This window comes from Homo sapiens, chromosome 8 (assembly GCF_000001405.40).
Source record: "Homo sapiens chromosome 8, GRCh38.p14 Primary Assembly".
In the NCBI taxonomy this organism is placed as follows: domain Eukaryota; kingdom Metazoa; phylum Chordata; class Mammalia; order Primates; family Hominidae; genus Homo; species Homo sapiens.
In genome coordinates this window covers 70231776-70245809 of record NC_000008.11, presented here as the reverse complement: position 1 = coordinate 70245809, position 14034 = coordinate 70231776, and the positions used below count along the sequence as shown (strand labels likewise).

The window sequence follows — 14034 nt, the reverse complement described above, 5'->3', positions numbered from 1 at the left end:
TTTTAACTGCCCCTCACTGTTCATGGCCAGTGTAGTACATCCTAGTGAAAGGAAGACCATGCATCAGAATGTTTGTTTTGAGCATTTATTTTTAGCAGCAGATCTAGAAATTATATTTTCATTTTAGGGTATATATTTTTTATTTATTATGAACATTCCAAGACTAAATAATTTTAGACATGCGTATGTGAGTGCATGTGTACATTGCATGCACGTGTGTATGTGTATGTGAGAGAGTGAGAGACTGAGTCTGAGACTGTGTGTGAGAGAGAAGGAGAGGGAGAGAGAGGGAGAGAAAAGAAAAAGACATTCCCTTAATAGCAGGAGGGGTAGAGGCTTACTCAGTCTATTATCATAAAGCTCTGCTAATGTAGCTTCTGAGTCATGTGACTGCAGAAAAGGCTATTATCTCAATGAAAAGGAAACCGGGTTTTAGAGCAAGCAATAGAATAGAAGCAGGAAGAATTTTCGAGTGTTCCACCATGCTGGATTGTCAAAGGGGGATCTGTCTGATCAGCAGCTAAAAAAGGATTTGTGTGGCTAGTTTGTCAGCTATCGTTAGAAACAAATGATAGAGGAGATAAGCGGCGGGGTGCTCAGCATGTGCTTAGGTTTACATCAAGATGTAATGTTGGTTTGGGTTAACAGAGGAGATTTATCTCTGAGGCAATAAATTTATTGCTAATTGTGGGGGTTTTTGTTTTGATGAGTGATGTATGGTATTTGTATTTACATCACTGGTGAAGATAAAGAGAAGCTGCTGAGCTCTAATATGAACTGCAGAAGCTGTGGACAGTTACAAGGTGTGTTTCAGAAGTGCTCTGACTTAATATTTGGTAATGTTCTTGGAATTCTGTGTGCTTGTGGATTGGATGTGCGGTGCGTTGTAGAAGGGAGAACTGAGCGTGACAACCAGGCAGTGATAATGTTCTCAGGAACACATAGATACAGTGTGACCCAAATTGATTCCGTGGTCCTTATTTCTTTTGTGTTTGTGTAGTGTTTTTAAAATATTCCTTGTAGTTTCTTTATGTAGCCAAATACAGTGTCACGCTTGTTTGTAGGAAATATTTTGGTAAGCATTTTCTAAAATTCAGGAGGAGAATCTTAATTTTTTAGATGCAAATCTTAATTATTAAGGAATAAATATAACTATAAGCTTTATCTTTCTACCTTTATACTTTTTATCCTTTTCTAATTTCAAGCTTAAAGGGGAGCTTTGTGATAAATTTGAAATTATTTAATTTTTGATTACATGATAAGTACAGCTTTTATTTTTGGTGGAGGCCTTGATTCAGTGATTTTTTTGTTGTTGTTATATATAGTACCTAACTTTCTCAGATTGATCTTATGCTACTGTATGCAGAGAGCTAAATAACATACAGTTAATCTTCAGACTGTACTTGTCTGCTTTTGCTCATGTTAATGCTATTAATTCTCATAGCAGTCTGTACCTGTCTCTTAACCTTGGAAAATGTAGCACTTGAAAGTCTGAGATTGGTGAAAGATAATCAGAAGCATTATCTGAAAAGGGTTAACAATTACACAACATATATTCGGAGAATGATTTTGCTAATGTTTTTCATTTAACTTCTAGAGCAGATGGGCTGAAGTGTATGTATGTTTCCAAATCACATATGATTTTGAAACTAAACTATACTGTATACAGTTCCCTTTTGAAATTGAGGTTGGAAGAGGTAAGGAATGTATCAGGCAATTTCTAAGGTGTATAGACAGTTTAACAATTAATTCTCGCTGTCTTTTCTAATAAAAGATGAGAGCAACTCAAACATAATTTTTAATTATACTAAGTGCAGGAGATTCTTCTTTATATCTACAAGCCATATCTTAGCACAGTATAGTTTAATAAATCATTAATTTTATTAAATGGGATTTTCTTTTAAAAAGCAGACAACACTGGCACTTTACATAGAAAAACAACTTGGTTCAAATAAGCAGTTAATTTGGGATTTTTTTTAACTATCGTATTCTCCCACATTCTTTTTTTTTTTTTTTTTCCATTTTTTATTTTCACTGCTCTTTCAGTAACTCTCATGTTCTTGTAAGTAGTCTGTGAGACAGGGTTACATACCATTTTCAGGGTTACATACCATTTTCCGCCCAGAAAGCACTAGCACCATATGTTAAATATTTTGAATAATAAAAGTTTCAAAGTTGTATTATTTGAGCTTTCTTTGTTTTTCTTTATTTTTAAATCTTATTTTGTTACCTTATCTAAGCCTTTGAATGAGCCAAGACTTTTGTAATAATTAAAAGGTATTTTTATTGAGCACCTATTATTATTACAAGCCACTGTATGAAACAATATGGGAACATGAAGACAAATAAGATATTTAATCCAATAAGTTAACTTATAACTGGCGTTGGAATCCAGCCTCAGTAAATGTAATTATCCTGTATCTTATAGGAATTTAAAATGGCTAAAAGGAATAAAACTTATCTGACTGTTGAGAGAGTACTTCTCTGATTTTGTGAATGACGTTTCATATGAGCAGATTTGGATGGTAGTTTTAACTGGTCTGCATCCATGCCATTTCATTTTCCTTTGTTTCAGAACAGAAATACTTTTTGTTTTTTAAATAATCTTCTACAGCTAGAGTAGTTTTTATTCCTGATGGTTTTGTTTTTCCCCTAGGACATAAAATATCAGTCCTTTGCAAATTTAAAGTATTTTCATAAACAGATTAACATATTGAGTTATCTAAACAAACAGTATTTACTTTTAGAGGTTGGGGAGTGAGGAAGCACCCCAGTATTATTATCAGAGTTAAGAGGTGCAGGTGTTGAAGTCCAGGTAGCGTGTAAACAAGCCAGATGTCTAGCTTGCAAATCCTGCTACACTTCAGAATTCCAACCACAGTAATTAACCACAAATATTATAATCGGGTCTGATCTTGTCAGGCTGAGGGGGTTTGTTTCTTGGAACGAATTTTAATTTGTAGAATAGATAGGGTAAGAAAAAGTAGAATTAAGTGTGATCTTAGTATTCAGTGTTGTAAAACTCAGTGAAATGTGTTCATAGGACCTTTTTGTTTTTTGAGAAGGTAAAAGTTTGGGAAGATTTAGGCAGGATTAAAGTACGGGGCTATATTTTAGAGACATTTGAATTCTGTGGAAGCCAAGGGAATATAAGATTCAGGAAGTGGAAAAGCCTGTGTAACAGCCAGCAAATTTTCCCACGGTACCTCTTATAGGATTTGCTCTAAAAATTATCATTCAGAAATGCAGAAAAAGGTTTAGAATCAGTTGGCTTATCCATTTCTCTCACAGGTGCTTTGGTCCTTGTCATTAAAAAGGTAAGACTTTGCATTTTTTAGCATGCGTTTTAGTAGTGATGGCTCTTTTCACCAGGTTCACAGTTAACATGCAGGGTTATGGCTTGTAGTAATCACTAATATAGTACAACATAAACATACATTTGCATTATTTTAATGTTAAAGATAACATGGTTATTGCTATGTATGTTTTATTAAAGATTTTATAAGAAACACCAAACACTATAATCTTGACATTGAATGATTGTTTCTTCTTTAAAAGTCAGTCAAGATTAAGAAGTATGTTGAGATAGAAGCTAGATGTTTGGTTTCATCATTTTAGATGTCAAATCCAATTACAATAGTAAATTGATTGGCTAGAATAGTCATAAAAGCATACTATGAGGCTTATGTTTAAGTTACCTGTTTTGTTTCTATAAGTCCTTAGACTGTAGTCAAAATGAATGATAAATAAACATAGTATTGAAACCGTAATAGCCTTTTTATTTTTAGTTCTACATTAATTGGTTTTTCCAAATTTTGCTTTCATGTTTTAATGTGAAAATGTCCATTTTTATATGTCATTTTTACATATGCTTATTAAAAATAAAATTTTAAAGGCTTTGTTTTTACTTTTTCTTTTGATGAGGAAAATGACTTTTGCAAAACAATTAACGGTAGTTTTAAAGCTTATCTTTTATGTAGAACTTACATGCCAGGTCCTGTTCTATGGACCTTACATATATTAATTCAATTCCTGTTTCACAGTTGGGAGATGGAGACATGGAGAGGTAAAGTCACTGGTCCAAGCTCACACAGCTAATGAGTCAGTGGTGCAGGATTTCAGCCCAGGTAGTTTGCCTTGAGAGTCTACACTCTAAATTACTATGTATATTGAGTTCAGATGATGCTGGGTTCAGTTAGATTTGCTGATTTATTCTAGAATGAGGACAGGATGAACATAATGGACAAGGAGGGAACTATTACAGTTGAAGTGATTTTTTGTTTTTTAATGTTTGTACTTTAGTGAACTTCTGTTTCATTTCAAGTATGTTAAGAGTAAGACATTATTTAAAGAGTATTCGGTCCGCATTGAAAAGAAACATATTCATGAACATTAACTCCCAGCTAATTCAGAAATCTGCTTTAGAGGAAGGAGAATGAAGGAGAGCATTAAAATTGGGATAGCAGAGATTGTTAAAACAGAGTGACTATGAATTGCCATGAGATTAACTGGGTGGGGAGAAGCTTTGTAGTTCTGGGATCTGAAAGAAGTGTGTTGCATATTTTCTTACTTAGTTTCTTTTCCTTTTTCTTGGCAAATGGAGAACTTGCTGCTTCCAAGGTCCTTTACTCACTGCATTGCTATGATGGAGCATTCAGGTATAAAAACCACAGAGAATCCAAATAAAGATCCTTGTTTACAGATACCAGGGATTCCATAAAGAGGAGGAAGGTATACAGACCCTTCCCAAGCCCATAGTCTTTGAATCAGTAACTACATGTTAGAAGCAATTAGAAGTCCACCTTCCTTGGTAGGACATAAGAGCCTCTTTCACTATCTGGACCTGCCCCTCCCACTTGGAGATTCTCACCTAGTCCCATATTCTACCTTTAATGTAATAGCATTGATTCTCCTGATTTCACAGGAGTTATGTTTTATAAAGTTGTGGGAAACATTGAACTGGCGAATTCTGAGGCATGGCTCCTAGTGGAAAATTGAGGGCTAGGTTCCTGCAGGCCTCTGGTCACATCATCTTAGTCATCTGATCAATACATAACCTTATGTGTATTTCTGTTTAAAGACAACTTATTTAATATGTAAGTTACATAATATTGTTGATTCATTAAGATTGCACTCACAGTCAACAGCAATGTAACTCCTGCCTTAACAAAGCTTGTCTAACATTCATATTTTCTCATAAGGCACATCACAGCCTTCTGGCACTTCGGAACCCTCTATAGCGTTCCAACATCACGCTTGGGGGCCATTTTCAACATCAGAAGAACAAAAATGCAAAAAATGTGGCCCTAAAGAGACTGAAGAAAGATAATTGCTTTACAGTATGAGATCTGAAACAAGACAGAGCATCTCCTGTTTGAATAGGGAGTGTTATTTGTGGAGTACCTACAATGGGCCAAGTGTTTCAGATAATAATGACAATAATAGTGAAGGCAGCTTATTTTTATGAGGGTGTTTCTGTATACCAGGCCATGTACTTTTCTGCTTTATCTCATTTAATTTTCATTCAAACTTGTGAAGTAAATGTTATCTGCAAATATTACAGACATGGAAACAGCTTTGAAAGGTTAAGAACCTTTCCTAAGGTTGTGCAGCTAGTAAATGGTGGAAGCAAGAAATGACACTGAAGCTTGTTATTATCTGGAGGTTCAAGGCCGTGTTAGGAGATGCAGTCAAATAGGGCTGCCCTTCTCAACAGAGCTTCTTTGTTGGAAAGGGGTAGAGGGCCACATTTCCCCAAAGCCTTTGTGTCTGTGTGATAGTCTAGATATGGAAATCTGGAAGGATTGGGCACAAGAGATTATTTCCTGTGTGGAGAGGTTGGAGAATCATGAACTTGTTGACTGTAGTAGCAAAGGTGGTCTCTCAGTCTGCTTCTGCTCTGCCTGTCATGCCAGCTAACCAACCTGTTCACACTCTCACTGTGTATCTTTTCTCTGCCTTGTAACTTTGGCTCATTCATTTCTTCTTGTAACTTTATTATCTTGTGGTTTCTTCCTATGTGTCTTTTTAGCTGTTGTTTTCTCTTCTCACTGAACAATTCTCTCTCTTAATTATCCCAAAGACTGAGAGAACCTGATTGAGCCAACCAATCACCATTGTCTTTGTCTGGATAGAACTTTTGTGCCAAGCCATCCCTCTAGACCCTGGCAACCTGTAGATTGGATACCTGAATCAAGTGCTGGGGGGCGGGCAGTGTCTCATGGTGTTGTCAGGGTGTCTTCTGTGTAAGGAGATGGAGAAAAGCTGCCTTATATCAGCAGGTTGTGGGTCCTTAGGAAGAGCTGTGGGAATGGATTGTTTGGTCCAGAATAGAGTGCAGTGGAGTCTTGTACTACATGACATTTACCAAGAAGATCAACAAAGACTGTAGGTCTTGTGTTTCTTCATGCCTAAAATTTGAAGACCAATTTAAATTCTCTGGTTTTTCTGCTTGGTGGTTGGTAGAGGTTAGTCTTTCATTTAGATGATAAGTTGTTGTATATGTTTATCAGAATGAACCATTGTTCAAATATATTCAGTTGCCATTGCAAGGCCGAAACAGAATTCCTGTAATGACCTGTTTGAGGCCCCTTCTGTCCTACCCGGTTTGATCTCCCATCACCTCCAGATATTTCAATTCCCAGGTAAACTCAAGGCAGTTGAAATTATATTCTGGAACACAGTCTTCTAAAGTTGATTAGAAATGTTATCAGAGTACCTAGGATTCAGTAGGAAAAGGCAAGGTAGTGGATGTAAACAGAAGGTGGTTTCTTATACAGAGGTTAATGTGAGCAGAACACACCAAAGTAAGAGAAATCAACCCAACTACTGTGAGACACAAAAATCTATTGTTTCTCTAGAATAGTGGGTCAAGATTGCAGATATGGAGGGAAATGGGGACACAGTTGAGCTTATGGGGGCCTGAATCTGTCCTGAATGTCTAAACCACCTAAGTTCTGTATAATTTTGTGGTTTGGTCAAGTAATGTACCATATTTGCTGTTGGTTATGGTCAGCACCTGGAGCTGCTGAGAACGGTTTGGGTGCTAGAAATGAACAGAAGCACAAGTCACCATACTCCAGTGACATAACTCAAGGAAGATTTGGGTAAAGGGAAAATTCATACTTCCTTGGTCTCCAGGGACAGACAGTCCACAGACTTTGAGGATGACATGTTCGTCTTTTCAAATATGTTTTACCTAGATCATTTCCTTGTGTTGTTGGCAATTCTCCTGTTACGTATTTCTAGATAGTTATTTAATGGCATTTCTTAGACAATGGGAAGAATTGTGCAGAGCATGGCATTTGCAGTCAGAGCTTGGTTTCAAGCCTTGTCCTGTGATGTAAGAGCTTTGAGACCTTGGAGAGGTCGGTCATGTAACTTCTCTGAATCTGTTTTCTCCTCTGTAAAATAGGAACAATATTTACATTGTGGAGCTCTGAGAATCAAATAATGTCATGCATAATACATTCTTCAACACTATACTAATTACTAAGCACCTAATATATTGTTATTTTGTTTGTTTTTTAAACTGCATATTTTGTCAGTGTGGCATCTCTTGTCTGTGAAATATTCCTTTAACACATGTGGTGTATTTTCTCACCTACGTATGTTTCCTCTTCCTAAGTAGTTTAAAACACACACACGCGCGCGCGCGCGTGTGCACATGCTTATTCATTGACTAAGTTATCCATGAACCTGTCATTTCTGTCTTCTGGAGCAACATGGAATCTCATATTTCTATCTTAATCACATATGTTTAATTTTGCCTTTGTTTTGTGGTCTGTGGGTACATTTGTTATTTTTAGTATCAAGTCATTTGGCTAAATCATATTAAATTGCAATCACCTAAAATCCCCTGGTTATTTTGACTTAAATGACTGTCATCTTTGGTTTCCCTTACTTAGAACGTCACACAGTTAATTTTTTTTTTCAACCTAATGGCAAGTGTGTGTGTGTGTTCTTGGAGTAGTTCTGCTGGCTATGAAGAGTATGTAGTAATATGCTAAAGCTTTGTAAACTCTTCTTTTGTTGTTTTGGAAGATGGAGTGTTGCTCTGTTGCCCAGGCTGGAGTGCAGTGATGTGATTTTGGCTCACTAGAGTCTCCACCTTCTGGGCTCAAGCAGTCCTCTCACCTCAGCCTCCCTGGTTTGTGGAACTACAGGGGCATGCCAGCATGCCCGGATAATTTTTGTATTTTTTTTCTTTTGTAGATACAGAGTCTCACTATGTTGCCCAGGCTAGTCTCAAACTCCTGAGCTCAAGCAGTCCTCCTGCCTCAGCTTCCTGAAGTGTTGGGATTACAGGCATGAGCCATTGCACCTGGCCCTAAATTTTAACAGATACAAAACTATAAGTTTATACTTAAAAAAAAAAAAAAAAGGAAAATACTGGATGGAATTATTTACTTGAGATGAGACATGCACAGTAAGAAGTTGAGAGAGTAGCAGTGCATCAAATAATGAGGCAGTGTCCTAGAGGTAAAGAGTACAGGCTTAGAGTCAGACAGCGCGGGTTCAAATCCTGCTTCTGCCAGCTGTTGGCTGTGTTTGACCTTAGTCATGTTACTTGGATTTTCATTCAGGGAATAATAATAATTACTTCATACAGTTAATTGTGAGGATCAAATAAGATAATACAAGTATACTACTATACCATAGTAAATATTCAACGATGCTACCTATTTTGGTGAAGTAGCTTCAAACTCGATAGCAGTTTGTAAAGCAATTTATTCCATGAATATTAAGTACTTGTGCATCAGGCATTCTAATAAGGGCCTAGGATTTTTTTACAATGAGAAATACTTCCTTTCTGTCTTTCAAAGAGCTTAAAATATGGTAGGGAAAAGGCATAAATAAGATAGTTATGATATACATGATTAATGGTAGAGTTATATGCAACTGTTCTTCAGTATTACAGGGGATTGGTTCTAGAAACCCAGTGGAGACCCAAGTCCACCAATGCTCAAGTCCCTTATATGAAATGGCATAGTAATTGCATATAATGCGCATCCTCCCATATACTTTAAATCATCTCTAGATTACTTACAATACCTAATACATTGCAAATGCTATGCACATAGTTGTTATATTGTACTGCTTTTTTATTTGTATTACTTTTATTGTTGTTTTTTTCTTTTAAGTTTCCAATTTGAGATTGGCTGAATCTGCGAATACAGAACCACAGATACGGAGAGGGCCAGCTGTATAGGCGTTTAGAAGACAGAAGAGGGGAATTTAATCTTGGGAGGAAGAGTCAATGTGAGCTAGGTCTTAAAGATGAGTGGGAGTTACCCAAAAGGACAAGATATATGGCTTATTGCATATATGACAAGCAAAAGAACTTAGGTAAGAGCTGGTATGTAGTAAGTGAGGAACCATGTGCATTTATAGTTCCCGGGCAAACAGAAAAGGTCAAGAAATGAACCTGGAGACAGAGGTATGGGCTAGATCATAAGGCACCTTGTATTACGTTTGAGAAAGCACAGACTTCGTCTTGGAGGGAGCGAAGACTATTGAAGGATTTTAATCAAGGAAGTTATCTGGAAATAAGGAGACTTATTTTGGATAATCCAGGTGAGAGGTGATAAAGACCTAAAATAGAAGTAGTAGTGATTAGCAAAGTGATAAGAGGAGAGACTTGAGGATATTGGAGAGGCACAGATATCTTATTGATGATTTGACAAGAATACAGAAGTATAAGGAGGATGTTCAGTGGATTGACATCTTACACATGGGGCATTTTGGGGGCGGGGAATAAAAATGGATGTGTTTAATTTTCTGAGTAGTCACTTAGCAGGCGGCATGATTTTTAAGGTGAAAGCTTTGAGAGGTGAAGGCTGGAAAGATGTGGGAAACCCGTAGGGATAACTGATACCACCAAAGATACTATAAAGCAGCAGTTCTTAATCCTAGTTGAACATCAGAATTATCTGGAAAATTTTTAAGAAAAAAAATTTGTTTTTTGAGACAAGGTCTCACTCTATTGTCCAGGCTGGAGCATAGTGGTGCGATCATAGTTCACTGCAGCCTTGATCTCCTGGGCTCAAGAAATCCTCCTGCCTCAGCCTCCCGAGTAGCTGACACTACAGGTGTGCACCACGATGCCCAGCTAATTTTTGATCTTTTTGTAGAGACAAGGTCTTGTCTTGTTGCCCAGGCTGGTCTCTAACTCCTGGGCTTGAGTGATCCTCCTGCCTTGGCCTCCTAAAGTTCTGGGATCACAAGTGTGAGCCACCGCGCCTGGCCTAAGAGAAGTATTGATGGTCATACCACACCTCTAAAATTTCTGATCTGATGGGTCTGGAGTGGTACCTGGTTATCTTGGATGTTTTTAAATATTTTTTTAAATTTTTTATTATGGTAAAATATCCATACAATTTGCCATTGTAACTATTTTAAGTACACATTTCAGGAATGTTAAATACATGAACAGTATTGTGCAACCATCACCATTATTCATTTCTAGAACTTTTTCATCATCCCAAATAGAAACCATTAATAACTCCATTCCCTCCCACTCCCCAGCCCCTGATAATCTATGTTCCTCTTTCTGTCTCATAAATTTGACCAGTCTAAGTACCTCATATTAGTGAAATCATTCTTTCATTTAGGGTATTCTCAAGGTTCATCCATGTTTTAACATGTATCAGTACGATACTCCTCTTTAAGGCTGAATAATATTCTATTATATGTGTGTGCACCTTTTGTTTATTCATATGTTGATGGACATTTGGGTTGTTTTCACCTTTAGCAAAGCCTATTCACCTATTATGCTGCTTAGAGCATGGATGTACATATGTCTGAGTCGCACATAAAGTTCACATCTTTTGGGTGTGGAGGTAGAATTGATGGATTGTATGGCAATGGAAAATGAAAATCAGATGGTTTTTATCTATGCAGCCATGGTTGGGAACCTATGGTATAGAACAGGGGTTCTTAATCTGGAGGATCCATAAATGGTCTTAGTGAGTTAGTGACATTTTGGAAAAGTTGTATGTCATATTCTGTATGTGTGTGCTTTTACTTTTTGGCCTTGGTCAGGTACTCAGAGAGGTTCATAACCCCAAAAGCTGTTAAGAATCACTGACCAGAGAACCTAATTTTAGGGACAGGCAAAGGATTTGAGTAGGCACCTCTCCAAAGAAGATATGCAAATAGCCAAATAAACACAAGTAAAGATGCTCAATATTGTTATTAGGGAAGGGCAAATCAAACCCACAATGAGATATACTGCTTAATATCCAGTAGGATGGCTATAACTTAAAAAGAAAACAAAAAGAACAAGGTTTGGGGAAGATTTGAAAAAAAAAGTGGAATCCTTGTTTATTACTGGTAGGAATGTAAAATGGTGTAGCAAGTTTGGGAAGTAGTTTCGCATTTCTTCAAAAAGTTAAACATAGAGTTACCATATGACTCACCGATTCCATTCCTAGCTATATATCCAAGAGAATGGAAAGCATACATCTGTGTAAAAACTTGTACACAAATGTCCATGATAGCATTATTCATAATAGCCAAAAAGTAGAAACAACCCAAATGTCCATTCACTGAGTAATGGGTAAACAAAATTTGGTATAGCTATACAATGGAATATTTGGCCATAAAAAGAAATGAAGTACTGATACATGCAGCAGTGTTGCTGAGCCTTGAAAACATTATGCTAATTGAAACAAGTGAGACATAGAAGGTCACATATTATTTGATTCTGTTTATATGAAATGTTCATATTAGGTAAATCCATAGAGATAGAGAGTAGATCAGTGGCTGTGAGGGGCTGGGAGAGGAGAGAATGGGGATTAATTGTATGAGTTTGGGGTTTCCTCTTGGGGTGATGACAATGCTTTGGAATTACATATGGTGATGGTTTCACAACCCTGTATATACACTAAAACTACTTTTTAATGTATATATTAAATTGCTGCATTTTACGACATGTGACCTCAGTAAAGCTGTTAAAAATAATTTTTAAAATAGAGATGAATGAGGAGAGAACTAGCCAGATGGAAACCTGGATAACTTCAAAAAGGAAGAAGATCCCATAAAAGAGATTGAAAAAGAATAATTATGTAAGAGGAGGACCTATAGATTGTTGTGTCATGAAAGCCACAAAATGGAGAGGTTAAAGGAGGAACCACGGAAGGGGTGTGATTTTTAACTGTGGTAAACACAGCAGAAAGTTTGGTAACAACATACAGTATGCCCAAATTGCTGTAGGTTGGCATTTGAATGTCATGGAAGACTAGGGAGGGCAGATTTAATGGGGTAATATGGGAAGAGATACAATATCTTTGGGTCATAGAGTGAGTGGAAGGGAATAGGAGAATAATCTACATGCCTGTATTCCCTTATTTGAATCTCAAAATTCAGCACACTGAAAATGGAAAGGTGTTTTGTAATTCATTTGGCAGTAAAACCTGACCTGAATGGATGTGAGATGATTTATAATCATTTGTTTCATTTAGTGTGAATATTCATACATTTCACTGCAGAAATAATACTGAATTTGATTATAGAATGCTTCTGTAGACCCTTCTGGGGTTATAATGAAATATGGTATATGACACGTATTATCTTTTTTTTTTTAAACGGAGTCTCACTCTGTCACCCAGGCTGGAGTGTAGTGGTGCGATCTCAGCTCACTGCAACCTCCGCCTCCTGGGTTCAAGCGATTCTCCTGCCTCAGCCTCCTGAGTAGCTTGGGAGTACAGGCGGACACCACCATGCCCAGCTAATTTTTGTATTTTTAGTAGAGATGGGATTTCACCATGTTGGCCAGGATGGTCTTGATCTCTTGACCTTGTGATCTGCCCGCCTTGGCCTCCCAAAGTGCTGGGATTACAGGCATGAGCTACCGCGCCTGGCCGACATGTATTATCTTTCTAGAATGAAATATATATATATGTATATCTACGCACGTGTGTGTGTGTGTGTGTGTGTAAATTCTAAATCATATGGTCCCCAGTGTTTGGGGATAAAGGAATCCCAGACCTTTGTATTCTTTAGACAGGTCTGGATGTGAAGGAAGATTTGAGATTGAATGGTAGTTGGAGAGGAATTTAAGCTCATCCTTGAAACATTTTTATTTTAAAGGATGGAAATGACCTGAGTATGCATTAAGTAGAGAGGAAGAGGTTGAAATATTGCAGCAGGGTCTCCCAAGGTGAGGAGGGGAATAGAAATGGGGTTGGAGTAGTTAGTGTTTACAGGCAGAAGGATCACACATTCTCTGAGACACCAGAAGTGATGTTGAAGATGGAGTTGGCTATCTTTCTAAGCAGGAAGAAGGGAAGTTGAGGAAAATCAAATTGAACGGGTATTTACTGAAGTGGCAAAAGCTGGAAATAATTGTTGAGGTCAATAGAACAAGCTGAGAACAAAGTAAAGGATTGACAGGCAGGACTAAGGGCCTGGGCAATTTTAGAAACCCTGAAATCTTTGGGGCCCCTCTGCCCCTTGTTGCTTGATATTCTCCATCAGTGCTCAGCTTCCCCTTATGGTGGAAAGACTTGGGAATGAAGTTTTGCAGAAAGAATTCTATGAGAGGGTGGTGTGAAAGAGAACTGAGGTGGCTGCAGGTGGGGAGGTGGCTCTAGCTTGAGAATGACGGAAAGGGGCAGGGGCTGGCATACACTGAAGACTGTTGGGGAGGAAGACAGTATGAAAGCTAGTGTGCTAGGAGTTTGTGGACCAAAAAAATGGTGTTCAAATGGAAACAGTACTGCGTAATAACAAGGTTCAGGGCATGATTATAGAAGGCAGCGGCCGAAGTGGAGGGGAGGTGAACTTCGTTGGAGTTGACAGACAAGGACCTGCGGGATACTCATTAGTTCATCCACACAGTCTTTGAAATTACTCAGAATGATGACCAGATTTGAGCTAGAGAGGAAGCGCTAGTCTGATGGCAGAATGCTTCAGTAACTGTGGGGGATTAAGCTGCATGTTGGTGAACTTAGGAAGATAGATAGAGGCGTTCTATGGTACTGGTAGAGAGAGGGTTTTTTCAGAGGAGGAAAGATTCTATATAAGGGCATC

At 37.7% G+C, this 14034-nt stretch overlaps 1 protein-coding gene across 44 annotated transcripts in view, besides 1 other annotated feature; it reads left to right on the top strand.

Annotated features, from left to right (window-relative positions):
* The window catches only part of NCOA2 (nuclear receptor coactivator 2), a 346665-nt gene that overhangs the window by 210637 nt on the left and 121994 nt on the right, over positions 1–14034 (top strand). For 3 of the 44 annotated variants that reach the window (XM_047421264.1, XM_047421253.1, XM_017012971.3), the window contains exon 1: positions 435–803. The exons of the other annotated variants lie outside the window; for them this stretch is intronic. The gene's annotated coding sequence lies outside the window, so the exon portion shown is untranslated. Of the gene's footprint in view, positions 1–434; positions 804–14034 lie in introns of those variants that run through there. 44 annotated transcript variants of the gene reach the window in all.
* Positions 13355–13856: an enhancer, noted in NCBI's record as "NANOG hESC enhancer chr8:71144189-71144690 (GRCh37/hg19 assembly coordinates)". NCBI's record gives its function as "activates a minimal SCP1, AML or CMV promoter by ChIP-STARR-seq in primed H9 embryonic stem cells {active_cell/tissue: H9 hESC(primed)}" and the evidence as "EXISTENCE:reporter gene assay evidence [ECO:0000049][PMID:30033119]".